The 14,197-nt window shown below is 40.2% G+C and overlaps 1 protein-coding gene across 19 annotated transcripts in view; it reads right to left on the bottom strand.

Annotated features, from left to right (window-relative positions):
• Nucleotides 1-14,197, bottom strand: part of IRAG2 (inositol 1,4,5-triphosphate receptor associated 2) — a 110,761-nt gene that overhangs the window by 34,980 nt on the left and 61,584 nt on the right. For 5 of the 19 annotated variants that reach the window (NR_159368.2, NR_159369.2, NM_001394803.1 and 2 more), the window contains 5 exons: nt 11,703-11,764; nt 10,456-10,536; nt 9,540-9,636; nt 6,844-6,991; nt 3,925-4,006 (listed from right to left, as the gene is read on the bottom strand). Coding sequence is in view for 14 of the 19 variants with exons in the window: in NM_001394803.1 (NP_001381732.1) it covers nt 3,925-4,006; nt 6,844-6,991; nt 9,540-9,636; nt 10,456-10,536; nt 11,703-11,764 (470 nt within the window). In the remaining 5 variants the exon portion in view is untranslated. Of the gene's footprint in view, nt 1-3,924; nt 4,007-5,107; nt 5,201-6,843; nt 6,992-9,539; nt 9,637-10,455; nt 10,537-11,702; nt 11,765-14,197 lie in introns of all 19 variants that reach the window. The other 14 variants (NR_159367.2, NR_159366.2, NM_001366540.1 and 11 more) reach the window with 10 other exon arrangements.

Genomic DNA, 14,197 nt, shown 5'->3' with positions numbered 1-14,197 from the left:
TTATTGGGCAGCTACTGTATATAATCCTATGCAGGGTGCTACATGCGCATTGGTTAATGGCCAAATAAAGGTACTGTCCAGCAATTTTATCACCTAATACACAAATAAATATAAGAAAATAAATAACTACAATGCAAACCAGCATACAGATGACAAGAAATGTGGGGCACAGAGAATTACAAGGGTCTTAAAGAAGGAAGTGAGCTTAGTTTTTTTCTGAGTTGGATCATTGAGAAATGAGGAAACAGGCCTGAAAACACGACTTTCCCAGACTCACACAGAGGCCAACCCACAGAAAAACCTCATCTCCCCACTCTTAATCCATTATGATTTCCACCTCAAGAAGGACTGGAGATGCTTGAATGTCAACATTTTATGCTACCACAAAAAAAGTTTTTATTGGTTTTTGAAATGGGGCTTGACAGTCTAATAGAATTTTGATAAATGGAAAAGCATACATTGTTCTGGGCAAAGAAAACAGCACAAACACGTTTGCGTGATATATTCTGACAATATAGGCTACCTGGTTTGGCTGACGTACAGGCACAACCATACACAACAATGGGGAAATAAAGGTAAAAAGGTAGACTGCAACCAGTTTAGAGAGGGACTCCAATACCAGGTCAAGTTGTTTGTTATAAGGCTGTAGAGATTGACAGAATCCATCATTTAGAGACAAGGAGTTAAGAAAACACCCATCGTCTGGGGTGTCCACTGGGATGATAAACATATATTATGTTTTTAAAATAATTTATATCTTATATTTTACTCTAATTCCCTGTAATTATTACCAATGACAATGCTTAGAAAAGCGTTTTCTAAGGAGAGCTTTCTATTTTCTTAAGAGATAATGTGAGTATAAAATGATGGTAGGTGGGGAGTTGCTCAAGGGACAAGGGTCAGAGGCAGAGAGTACAGTTACCAGGCTGTTGAGATTCTCCAGTGGAGCAGAAACCTGGAATGGGAAGGTTGAGAATTGGTGGGATCAGTCAGAAGGTGCAGCCAACAGACTAATTCCTGGGCTGTTGCAAACTACAGAAGACACAAGAAAATCTTCAGGGAACTTACAGGAGCATGTGACTGGAGGCTCGATTGTGATGTCTGTTAGCACCTATTTCTTTTTTTTCTTTTTCTTTCTTTTTTTTTCTTTTGAGATGGAGTTTCGCTCTTGTCGCCCAAGCTGGAGAACAATGGCACGATCTCGGCTCACTCAACCTCCTCCTTCCGGATTCAAGTGATTCTCCTGCCTCAGCCTCCCAAGGAGCTGGTTTTACAGGCGCCTGCCACCATGCCTGGCTAATTTTTGTATTTTTTAGTAGAAATTGGGTTTCACTACATTGGCCAGGCTGGTCTCAAACTCCTGACCTCAGGTGATCCACCTGCCTCGGTCTCCCAAAGTGCTGGGATTACAGGCGTGTGCCACTGCGCCCAGCCCAGCTCCTATTTCTTAATGGGTGTGAAGCACAGACAAAACCACGCAGTCACATATCCTAATAAGAGTCAATATGGAGGTCCTTTTAGATATAAAAGGCAGTACATTTCTTAGCCAAAAAAAAAAAAAAATACTTTCAAGGTAATGCTAAGTAATTATGATTAAAATGTCTAAATTCAGTGTACTAAGAGTAGCCATGACAAAGGCCTGTATCCTTTGAAGCTGGACAAATCTGAATTTTAATCCCAGGTTTGTTATTTATTAATTGAGTGATCATGGGCAAGTTATTTAACTCCCTCAACTTCAGTTGCCTCCTTTGTAAAAAGCAGAGAAGTGTGGAGCAGATTAATCACATGGCATGTGGGAATGCTTTTGTACAAAGTTCCTGGCACACAACTGATATTTGTTTCTTCCTTCTTCTTGGTAAACTCGGTGCCAGATAAAAGGGAAATTACTAATAACCAAACATCCTGTAAGCTTCCAAGTTCAACTTCCTTTACTAAAACTTTATAAGAATTGCTAGGTAAGAGCAAGATATATTTTTAAAAATTTTCAATTTATTTTTATTTTTATTTTTTGAGATGGAGTCTTTTCCTGTTACCCAGGCTGGAGTGCAGTGGCGCAATCTCGGCTCACTGCAACCTCTGCCTCCTGGGCTCAAGCAATTCTCCTGCCTCAGCCTTCCAAGTAGCTGGGAGTATAGGTGCCCGCCACCTAATTTTTGTATTTTTAGTAAAGATGGGGTTTCACCATATTGGCCAGGTTGTTCTTGAGCTCCTGACCTCAAGTGATCCGCCCACCTTGGCCTCTAGGTAAGAGCAAAATAGATTCATTTCCTTTTTCTTAGCTGCTCAGACAGGTATTTATGAACAAAAACAATGCCATATACCCACTCAACAGGAAGAATAACAACAACTTGTACAATTCAATAGTGAAAAGAAATATAATCCCATCTTTAAAATGAGCAAAGGATCTGAGTAGACTTGTCTCCAAAGAAGTTATACAAATGGCCAACAAACACATGAAAAGATGTTCATTATTAATCATGAGAGAAATGCAAATCAAAAATACAGTGAGGTATCACTTTGCACCCACAAAGATGGCTTTAATAAAAAATAGGCAAATATTTAATGAGGATACAGAGAAACCGGAATCTTCATACATTGCTGTTGGAAATGTAAAAGGATATAGCCACCCTCGAAGTCTGTTTTGCAGTTCCTCAAAAACATTAAACATAGAGTTACCATATGATGCAGTAACTCTGCCACAGGAATACACCCAAAAGAATTAAAAACATGTTTACACAAAAACCAATACACTGATGCTCATAATAGCATCACTTGCAATAGCCAAAAAGTAAAAACAACTCAAATGCCCATCAGCTGATGAATGGAAAAACAAAATGTGGTGTGTATCTATACAGTGGAATATTATTGAGCCATAAAAATGAATGAAGTACTGATATCATGCTATGACATGGATGAATCTTGAGAACCTTATGCTGAGAACCTTGAGAACCTTAACTGAAAGAAGCTGGGCACAGAAGGCCATATATTGTATGAATCCATTTATATGAGATGTCCAGAATAGGCAAATCTATAGGACAGAAAGTAGATTAGTGGTTGCCTCCAGCTGGGGGTTGGGGACAGGAGGAAATAGGGAGAGACTACCAATGGGTACGCAGTTTATTTCTGGGGTGATCAAAGTATTCTAAGACCGATTGTGGTGATGGTTGTACAACTCTGTGAATATACTGAAAGTCATTTAAGTGAATAATTTAAATTAATGAATTGTCTGGTGGGTGAATTATATCTCAATTAAAATGTAAAAGAAAGAAGAATGATGGACTGCCAGATCCTGAAACAGAACTGCCTGCTCTGTTTGATTGAGAAGATCACGAGGCTCAGGGTGCAGACTGTGGAAGGCATTCCAACCACATCTCAATGATAGAGACAGTGACCTAAGTGACCTTCTCAGGTCATTTAGCATTATTCTCTTCTTGGGTAGAAAAGTGGCATTAGCACCTAACTTTGCCAATTAATACCTTACTACTCTCCATGGGCATGGCCGTGCTTTGTGGTCTTTGACAAAGGGTACCAGCCCCTCAAAGATTATCCAGCCTCGACCTCAATTCTTGGAGAATCAATGGGATCTGAGGCTTCTTACAGTCATTCGTGAATTTAAGTCCCAAACCAGCCTGCCTCTCAAACAAAAAGTTTAGCTCACTTCATTGAAATCTCTTTTTGGTTCTATAACCCACAGTGCATACTAAACACAGGGTAGAAAGCCCTCATATTAAATAATTTTAATTTCTTGACTTCAAAGGTTGCTATTTCTCATGCATCTGAGTTTTGGAATAGCAGACTCAGACTTGCTACAAGAATATCCATAATACTTAAAAAATAAAAAAGACAGGGAAAAAGAATACCCATAGAAGAAGAACAGGATATGGTAATACTGAAAATGAAACCAAAATCCAGTCCAACACTCACTTCCATACTTGGGTCATCATTCATCCTGATGCAGCCTGAGAGATTCGTTCCTGGGCTGGGGCCACTTGTGGGGCCTGGGCACCTGGCAGTAGGAAGTAGAGTTATTTACTACAGGTGAAAAAACTGCAAATCTTAGCAGATACTAAACTATAACATGGTTCTCACTCCCCTACGCCCAGTCCTAATTTTATCAAATTTCTAATTAAGTTCATGGTTTAAGTAACACATAATGAAAGAGAGTTCCCACCTCCATCAGAGAGAGGTTACAAACAACAGAGAATCCAGTCAAAAATGAAAATGAAGCATTTGCAATTCAAAGCCATCCTTCCTCACCCTCAATATAGAAGGGAAATTTTATTGAGGTAGATTAGGCCCTCACAAAATGCACTGACATTTTTTAATGTTTCCTAAGGAAGATGAGTCTGTATACTTAAAAAGGCAGGTGCAAATGAGCACCGAAGGAGGATGAGGGCAGGGACAGGTATAGGTTCCCAAAGGCTTGTTAACCTTGAGTGTGAAAGAAACAGAAATAGGATCAAAACCTGTCTAAGTTAACTTAGGAGGATGTCGTTGATATTGTGATCAATGCCCCCAGTTCCTGAGACAGACCTCCTAAAATCCTTGTAGACAGAGGTGCTAGGGGAATCTTTACTCTAATATTTGGTCTCTGATCCTGGTTCCTGATACGGAGTGTCTAAGACCTTGTAATTTCCCGAGTGATAGGAGTGTTTGACGCGAAGCTCCTGAATCTCTTGAAATTTCCTGAGTATTACGAGCATCTTCTGTTCTAACGCGGTATCTCTTGGTGGGCTTCTGGATAGCCTCAGGATGAGGGGCTGGTTGCCAGGGGAACCAATCTGTGGTTTGAGCGTTGGAACTTTCAACTCCACCCTGCCAAGCTCCTGGGAGGGGAGGGGGCTGAGGTGATCACCAATGGCCAATGATTTAATCAATCGTGCCTAGTAAAGCCTCCATAAAAACCTGAAAGGACAGCACTTGGAAAGCTTCTGATTTGGTGAACTAAAACATAGCCATGTGCTGGGAAGATGGCACACCCCAACTCCACAAAGACAGACCCTCCTGTGCTCGAGACATTTCCAAACCTTTCCGATGTATCTCTTCATCTGGCTGTTCATTTGTATCCTTTAAAATAGACTTTGTCACCTGGCACAGTGGCTCACACCTGTAATCCCAGCATGTTGGGCGGCTGAGATGGGAGGATCACTTGAGTCCAGGAGTTCAAGACCAGCCTGGGCAACATGGAGAAACCTTGTCTCTGTGAAAAATACAAGGTCAAGTGCTGTGGCTCACACCTGTAATCCCAGCACTTTGGGAGGCTGAGGTGGGTGGATCACCTGAGGTCAGGAGTTCAAGACCAGCCTGGCAAACATGGCGAAACCTTGTCTCTACTAAAAATTCAAAAATCAGCTGGGCATGGTGGCAAGGGCCTGTAATCCCAGCTACTTGGGAGACTGAGGCAGGAGGATTGCTTGAACCCGGGAGGCAGAGGTTGCAGTGAGCCGAGATCATGCCACTGCACTCCAGCCTGGGCAACAGAGTGAGACTCTGTCTCAAAAAACAAACAAAAAAACAAAAATTAGCGGGGTGTGGTGGCAGGCACCTGTGGTCTCAGCTACTCAGAAGGCTGAGGTGAGACAATCACCTGAGCCCAGGAAGTCAAGGTTTCAGTGAGCCCAAATTACTATTGTACTCTAGCCTGGGTGACAGAGTGAGATCCTGCCTCCAAAAAAATAAATTTAAATAAATAAATAAATGAATAAAATAAACTTTGTAGTAAGTGGATAAATGTAAGGAAAGTGTTTCCCCGAGTTCTGTGAGCTACTCTAGCAAATTATTTGAACCCAAGAAGGGGATCTTGGCAACCCCCAATTTATAGAGAGTTGGTCAGAAGCACAGGTCACAGTCTGGAACCTGCAAGGGGCATCTCAAGCAGGGACCAGCCTTGTGGAACTGAGCCCTTAACCTGTGGAATCGGATGCTATTTCCAGGTAGATAACGTTGGAATTGAACTGAATTACTGGACGCCCATTTCATGTCGGCTGGAGAAGTGATTGGTGTGTGGAAAATTGCTTGGAGTGTGGGGAAAAAAACCCCCACACATCTGGTATCAGAAGTGTGGTATTGAGACTACAGTAGGAAAAAACACTCCATTGGTGAGTGTGTTTTTCCTTTAGATTAGAAGATTAGTCTGTGTACTTAAAGAGGAAGAGGGTAGGGTGCAGGGACAAGGACAGGTTCCCAAAGATGTGTTAACTTTGAATGTGAAAGAAAGAGAATTATGATCAAAATCTACCTATGTTAACTTAGCAGTCTACGGTATAGTCCTAAAAAGTGGAAACATTTTAGGTAGTCTAATTTGTCTTTTAAGCTTTAGAGTGGTATTATGAAATTCAAGAAAAGCAAGAAAACTACACTTCAAGAAAACTACAGCAATAACTTTATCTCAAAATTGTAAATTTTCGGCTGGGCGTGGTGGCTCACACCTGTAATCCCAGCACTTTGGGAGGCCGAGGAGGGCAGATCACTTGAGGCCAAGAGTTCGAGACCAGCCTGGCCAACGTGGCAAAACCCCATCTCTACTAAAAATACAAAAACTAGCTGGGCATGGTGGCATGCGTCTGTAGTCCCAGCTACTTGGAAGGCTGAGGCATGAGAATTGCTTGACCTCGGGAGGCAGCCGAGATCACATCACTGCACTCCAGTGTGGGCAAGAGAGCGAGATTCCATCTCAAAAAAAAAAAAAAAGAAAGAAAGAAATTGTAAATTTTCAGGAAGTTAGAGAAGTTCGACAATAAAGATGTGATCTCACGTTATGAAAATCTGACCAATTAAAATGTTAGGCAATGGGAATGGGCCACCCATGAGGAGTAGAGTAAGTAAATTTTGCTCTTAACCTACTTGTGTTGTCTTTTTACATCCAAAGCACCATCCTTTACTTCTCCATATGTGGGCCTTTCACACAGAGTGTGGATTTGGTTGGCTACACCTGAGAAAGGTGTTGATTCCAGGGTTGGAACTGCTGTAAAACTATCCAGAGATAAGGCATCTGCAGTAGAACAGAAAAAAATAAAAATAGAGACCAATTTCTGGTTCAAACTATATTGAAGCATAAAGTCTTTCCTTCTTGAGAGACTGAAAAAGTGAAAGTTAACCCGCTTCTATTCACATTTTAACATAAACTCCCTTGATGCCTAATCACAGAGGGTAAAAACGTCAAATGCTTAATTTTAACAAAGCATTTGGGAATGATAGTAATATTAATATATATAAAATAATTTTAGTTCTAATAATAATATTTACAAAATAATAATTTCAAAAAAGTTTTTTTAAGTGTGGGAGAGGTCAGAAAACCCCTGCCCACTAAGCAACTAGAGAGGTTAACAATCTACAGCCAGCGGGTGAAAATCCAGCCAGCTGCCTGTTTTTGTAAAGTTTCACTGTAGCCAGATGTGGTGGCTCACGCCTGTAATCCCAGCACTTTAGGAGTCCGAGGCAGGTTGATTGCTTGAGCTCAGGAGTTTGAGACCAGCCTGGGCAACATGGCAAACCCCCATCTCTACAAAAATGACAAAAATTAACTGGGTGTGATGGCATGTGCCTGTAGTCCCAGCTACTTGGGGGGCTAAGGCAGGAGAATCATTTGAGCCCAAGAGGTTGAGGCTGCAGTGAGCCGTGTTCGTGCCACTAAATGACAAAGTGAGACCCTGTCTCAAAAAATAAATAAAGTTTTACTGGAACACGGCTGCACCCATTTGTTCACACATTGTCCATGGCTGTTTGTGTGATGCAACAGTAAAGTTGAGTAGTTACAGCAGAAACTAAAATATTTACTATCGGGTCTTTTACAGAACAATTTTGCAGCCTCCAGAAGAGAAAAGCATTAGACATGGTAATTAGAACCCATCAAAGAATGGTAGGGGAAATAGGTTGAGATCACAAATCATTTATTAGGGAAAACCATCTTGTTATGTGTGTTTCTGAGTATAGGAAGCAGCAGAGTTTAATAGAAAAAACATAGGGTTTAGGGTCAATCAGAAATTTTTGGTTCAGATCCTGGCTCTGCCACATACCAGTTGTGTGATCTTGAATAAATAACTAAGCCACTCTGAGCCTCAGTTTGCTTATGTATAAAGTGACAGATGACCTTGGGCAAATTATTAACTCAATGTTCCTCTGTTTCCTTATCTTTTGAATGGTAATTATATTAACATCTACCTCACAGGGATGTGTTGAGGATTAAATGAGTTAATAGATATGTTAAGAGCATAGAACTGTGTCTGGCACATAGCAAGCATTCTTTCTCTCTCTCTTTTTTTTTTTTGAGACTGAGTCTCACTGCGACACCCAGGCTGGAATGTGATGGTACAATCTCGGCTCACTGCAACCTCCAATTCCTGGGTTCAAGTGACTCTCCTGCCTCAGCCTCCTGAGTAGCTGGGACTACAGGTGTGCACCACCATGCCCAGCTAATTTTTGTATTTTTAGTAGAGACGAGGTTTCACCATATTGGCCAGGCTGGTCTCCAACTCCTGACCTCAAGCAATCCGCCCACCTCGGCCTCCCAAAGTGCAGGAATTACAGGCTTGAGCCACTGCACCTGGCCAGCAAGCACTGTTTAAGTACTCCCACTGTTGGTGGTGGTTATTGTTACTGAGTTATTGCAAGTAATCTCTAAAAAGCACTAATTTATACTGCCTGACACAAAATAGACACTCCATTAGTATTAGTAGTTTTTCCTTCTCAAATTTAAATGATCCACAAATCACTCTACTTTTTCTCTTTATTCCTTCTTAAATTTACTTTGATAATCATTTCTTTTTGTCATTTCAGAACTAGACGTTAATTTTAGCTTTTAACTGCATCCATGTTATCCTGAGAGGTGTCACTACTTTGACCACTTCTTGGAATAAAGCTCTTTCTCTTGGCATTGAGTATAAATTTGACCCACAACCCAATTTTCCTTCTCCAAATGTCTCTTCTACTGTATCTCAACCCAAAACCTTTCATTTTCAAAATGACTTGCCTACCTTTGGCTCTTTTTCAAACACTTAAGGCTTTTGATTCTTACTTCTCTTCTTATTTTTTTTGTTTTGTTTGCTCATGTTACTCTCACCCATTAGAATACTTTTTTGATGTTTTTTGCTTTTCCAAAGCCAACTAATCTTTCAAGGCCAGTTCAACTCTAACCTCTTCCATGGAATCATCTTTGACTTCTCTGAGTCCAGGTCTTGTCTCCTTGCTAGTCTGTGAGCTACTTTAGGACTTATTCTTTTTTGTTTGTTTGTTTTAGAGATGTTGCCCGGGCTGGTCTCGAATTCCTGGGCTCAAGCAACCCACCTGCTGTGGCCTCCCAAGGTGCTGGGATTATAGGCATGAGCCCCCGTGCCTGGCCAGGACTTATTCTTTATCATGCATAATATGTTGCCTTGCACAGAGCAGGTACTCAAATATATATTGATTGACTGAATTCAGGGGTAAATATACACGTATTCAACAATTCTTCCTATACAAATGTAATAATAACTAGTTATTTTCCCTTTCAAATAGAACTCTACCCCTACTTGTGTCTGAGCAGGTATAGAAGGGGGGCTTACCCAGCAGAGGTGTGTACCAGCACGTATGTTTCAAGGTCAGGGGTGTCTGATGTATTCTTGCTTCTTGACCACCATATAGTTTGTGGCAACACTGCTTCTGAACAGAAAACCAAGTAGTATTAGCCATCTAAAGGAATGTAACATATATTTCATAATCTACTACCTCCATTTCAAAGGTGGAAAGAATATCACTAGTCTCAAGTGACCCTGTGAGAGAGATCAAGAAGAAAATAAATTCTGTCAAGTAAAAAAGCTTTCAAGTGTTTGATCAAAAGGTATACATATGAGTAACTTATGATTCTTATTTAAAAGTCACAATTTAGTAATCTAGGAGAATGCTAACATCATCAACTCCAAATAATTGACACTTTGATGTAAACAAAGGCTTTGAGGAAAGAGGTATAGGTGAGGAATAAACTTAGTTACATAATTCTTCGTGATACTGCAATTAAAAAAAGTAAAACAGGCCGGGTGCGGTGGTTCATGCCTGTAATCCCAGCACTTTGGGAGGCCAAGGTAGGTGGATCACTTCAGGTCACCAGCCTGGCCAACATGGGGAAACCCCATCTCTACTAAAAATACAAAAATTAGCCGGGCGTGGTGGTGTATGACTGTAATCCCAGCTACTCCGGAGGCTGAGGCAGGAGAATCTCTTGAACCCAGGAGGCGGAGGTTGCAGTGAGCTGAGATTGCACCACTGCACTCCAGCCTGGGCGACAAAGGACCAACTAGGTTTGTGTGTGTGTATGTGTACATTTACAAAAACACGTATCTGTTGCCTCACTTGATAATCTCTTGATAAAAGCAATATATGCAGTTCTAAGACTACTGATACATACTGGATTTAGCTTTCTATTACAGGATAGTTGTTGATTCACAATTACTACCTAAATAATTTCAAAAAGCTCGCAATTACCAATTTTTCTTGAAGAGGTTGTTGAATTGCATCTGCGCAGGACAGGGAATCATAGTGAGGAAATTCCTCATCTAAAAAGCTCTGTCAAGAGAAAATGGTAGAGTGTATTCAAAGACAGAATGATGAAAGAGTCAAAGATCCCAAACACATTAGACTTAATAGAAGATATGACACTACCCAAAGTGGGTGAAATTGACAAGTTCTTTTTGTATTCTACTCCAAGGGAACACATTTGTAATTTTAAACCTCCCATTGTATTTGCCCCATTACTTGATCTAGGAATGAAATCTGAAGATCGGGAACAAGAAACTGAATGGCTTTGTCACTGAAATCTGTAGGCAGAGGCTAAAGAAGCTTGTTAGAGATGCAACTCAGAGTAGTGAAAATGGTGTCTGTGAAAATTTGATAGCTATAAAATTATTGCCTTAATCCAAGAGGTAGATTCACATCTATCATAGTTATATTATAATAGAAAATGTTGTTGGTGTTCTTGAGATGATTAAAGCATCTTTAGATATGGAGGTTTTTCCAGCTCAACTTATTGCAGAGGGCTTTTCAGGCACTCTGCCTAGCTTAATCTTCCACATGGTTTTTTTTTTCCTGCTTTAACAGATGTGTCTGCATGATGCCCTAGAAACAGATACATGCAAATATCACCCTTCTTTCTTTCCTCCTCCATCATCTTCCTCCAGTGCCAACCTTGCTGCCTTGCTGTTCCCTTATGTTCTTCATTTCTGAACAAAAAGGAGATTCACCAAGTATCACAAGGGAAGGAAATACACTTTACCAGGGATATCTTGAGATGACCCATACAGAAAGAAATAGAAAGTTTAATTCAAATATGAGAAAGAAAAAAGAGACAGTAACCATCAAAGCCTATTCAAGAATACTCAAAATTTCAGCATATTATAAATTGAATGATATGCCCTTACTATCAGAAAGGAGGTCCCCAAGACTGAAAAACTGGCTGTTCGCTAATAGATATAGTGGTGGGGCAAAGAAAATTCTGAAATGCTTCCTCTCTAGAAGATATTATCAGTAGCCACTCACTAATGTAAGATCTCCTTTCTTATTTTGCTAAATACTTTAAGTGCAGAAGAGAACAAAGTCCACCAAAACATTTTCTTCTAAACTGGTTATTTAATTTAATGATTAAAGTCATTGTCTGTTATAAATTAGCTTCAAAACCTTACATGAATTGAACAACTTCCTCCACAGTAACTGAACACATATCAGAGATATTTTACCTGAAACAGCAAGCCATGGTGTTCCCCTTCAATGAACTCCTTTTGAAGTGACTCAATTGTTGCTACAAAGAGAATTTATAACCAGCTCAATATGACCATTTTAATTTAATTAATTAATGAATTTATTTCAAGACAGGATTTGGTTCTATTGCCCAGATTGGAGTGCAGTGGCATGATCTCACCTCACTGCAAACTCTGCCTCCTGGGCTGAAGCCATCCTCCTGTTTCAACCTCCCAAGTAGCTGGAATTACAGGCACATGCCACCCACACTCAGCTAGTTTTGGTATTTTTTGTAGAGATGGGTTTCACCATGTTGTCTAGACTGGTCTCAAACTCCTGAGTTCAGGTGATCCACCCACCCCGGCCTCCCACAGTGCTGGGATTACAGGCATGAGCCACTATGCCCAGTATGAGCATATTTAACCTTGTCTCCTTTAATTCATTTCATTGCTTCAAAAACTTTTAATGGCTTTAAATTTGGGGCCTCAAGAAAAGGAAAGGGAAAATAATGATTTCTGAGAATGGCACTCTCAACTTATGACTCGGGAAAAATGGAAAACCAGGCTAGAACAGATAAGCCATTATCTCCCTTGGGTATTTAAATTTTACTTTGATAGATACATGTGAATTGTCTTCTAGAAGTGAGTCACAGAATTGTCTAATCTTAAGCTAAGAATACATCTTAGGCCTGGTGCAGTGGCTCACACCTCTAATTTCAGCTCTTTGAGAGACCAAGGTGGGTGGATCATTTTAGGCCAGTACTTTGGGACTAGCCTGGCCAACAGGACAAAACCCCATCTCTACTAAAAAAAAAAAATACAAAAATTAGCTGGGTGTGGTGGCGCATGCCTGTAATCCTAGCTACTTGGGAGGCTGAGGCAGGAGAATCACTTGAACCTGGGAGGTGAAGGTTGCAGTGAGCCAAGATCATGCCACTGCACTCCAGGGCGAGACTCCCTCTCAAAAAAAAAAAAAAAAAAAAAAGAAAATACATTTTAGAGGTCATTCAGTCTGACCTCCTACTGATAAAGAAATCCTATCTCCAATAAGCCTCTGCTTGAGCCCTCAAATTACAGCCCTAGGATCCCAGAATCCTACAAGTAGATCTCAGATCATGAGAACACTGATGTGCAGACGATTGAAAAGGTAACTGGTAAATCATGGAGCTGAGATTAGACTCATGGAACAGAGCTTAACTCAGGGTATCATTCTGTGAAACTAAAAATATTTGTTTTTCTGCTTAAGTAAAATCTCTAAAGGTCTTATGCCTGGAATAATGGAAATGGGGGAAAAGTACCTAATATTTAACTAGCTCTTTGATGTACATAATAACATATTATTTATTTGACAAATCCTACTCTCTGAAACATAGCCAAAACCAGAAAATAAACCCAAATCTTTTGAACAACTAGAATAGATACTGATATTTATGCCCTTTATTCACGTGGCAAACCTCACACTTCAACTCAAGCAGTGGGCTCTGGGTATATACATAATTTTCACCAGTTTGACTGCCTTCTCAGCCCAAAGAAGATTAAAAGCAAAACTTAAACAAGGATATAAGGAGCTCTGCTAGATGGAAGCATATTAATAGCTACCACTTTTTTTTAAAATCACTAACAGCCAGGAAAATTATTAACAGCAGATACTCTGGCATCCAAAATACATAGAAATCTGGTGCTTCTTATTTTATAAACCAACAGTTTTATATCTTAATAGCCTGGAGAAATTCTGAGTCATGAGCATAATGCTAATGAAAAGAAGTACATAATCTAATTTTTAATTTTTTTCAGGAAAAAGGCTCTAAAAGCTTCAATTATGTAGAAAATTACCTATGTAAATTTTTTATTTTATAGGACTTTTTTTTGGTAAAAATAACTTACTTCTCAATCAAGCTTGACATAGTGTTACTAGGCCCACTAGGAGCAAAACAGATGTTTGTTTTTCAAACATCTCCCTCACATAGGAAGAAAAGCATATTTTTAAAAGAGTATTTCTAGGCTGGGTGCGGTGGCTCATGCCTGTAATCCCAGCATTTTGGGAGACCGAGGCAGATGGGTCACCTGAGGTCGGGAGTTCGAGACCAGCCTGAACAACATGGTGAAACCTTGTCTCTACTAAAAATACAAAAAAATTAGCCAGGCATGGTAGCACACACCTGTAGTCCCACCTACTCAGGAGGCTGAGGCAGGAGAATTGCTTGAACCCGGGAGGCGGAGGTTGCAGTGAGCCGAGATCAAGCCATTGCACTCCAGCTCTGGGTGACAGAGCAAGACTCTGTCTCAGGGGAAAAAAAAATAAGTATTTCTAACCTACAAAAGTAATTTAAAATTTATTTCTTATTAATACTTAGGACCCTGGTAAAGATGAAATTTTTAAAAAATTCTGTCTTAACTGTATTAAGAAGGAAGGCCCTGTGCTCCTTCTGATCTACATCTAAACAATAGCAACCAAAGCAATAAGAAGTGGCCATCGTGTGTTTCTGAAGGTCGTG

The sequence above is a fragment of the Homo sapiens genome, chromosome 12, assembly GCF_000001405.40.
Source record: "Homo sapiens chromosome 12, GRCh38.p14 Primary Assembly".
Classification (NCBI taxonomy): domain Eukaryota; kingdom Metazoa; phylum Chordata; class Mammalia; order Primates; family Hominidae; genus Homo; species Homo sapiens.
Note: the sequence above shows the minus strand (reverse complement) of the source record. Positions and strands in the feature narration are given on the sequence as shown.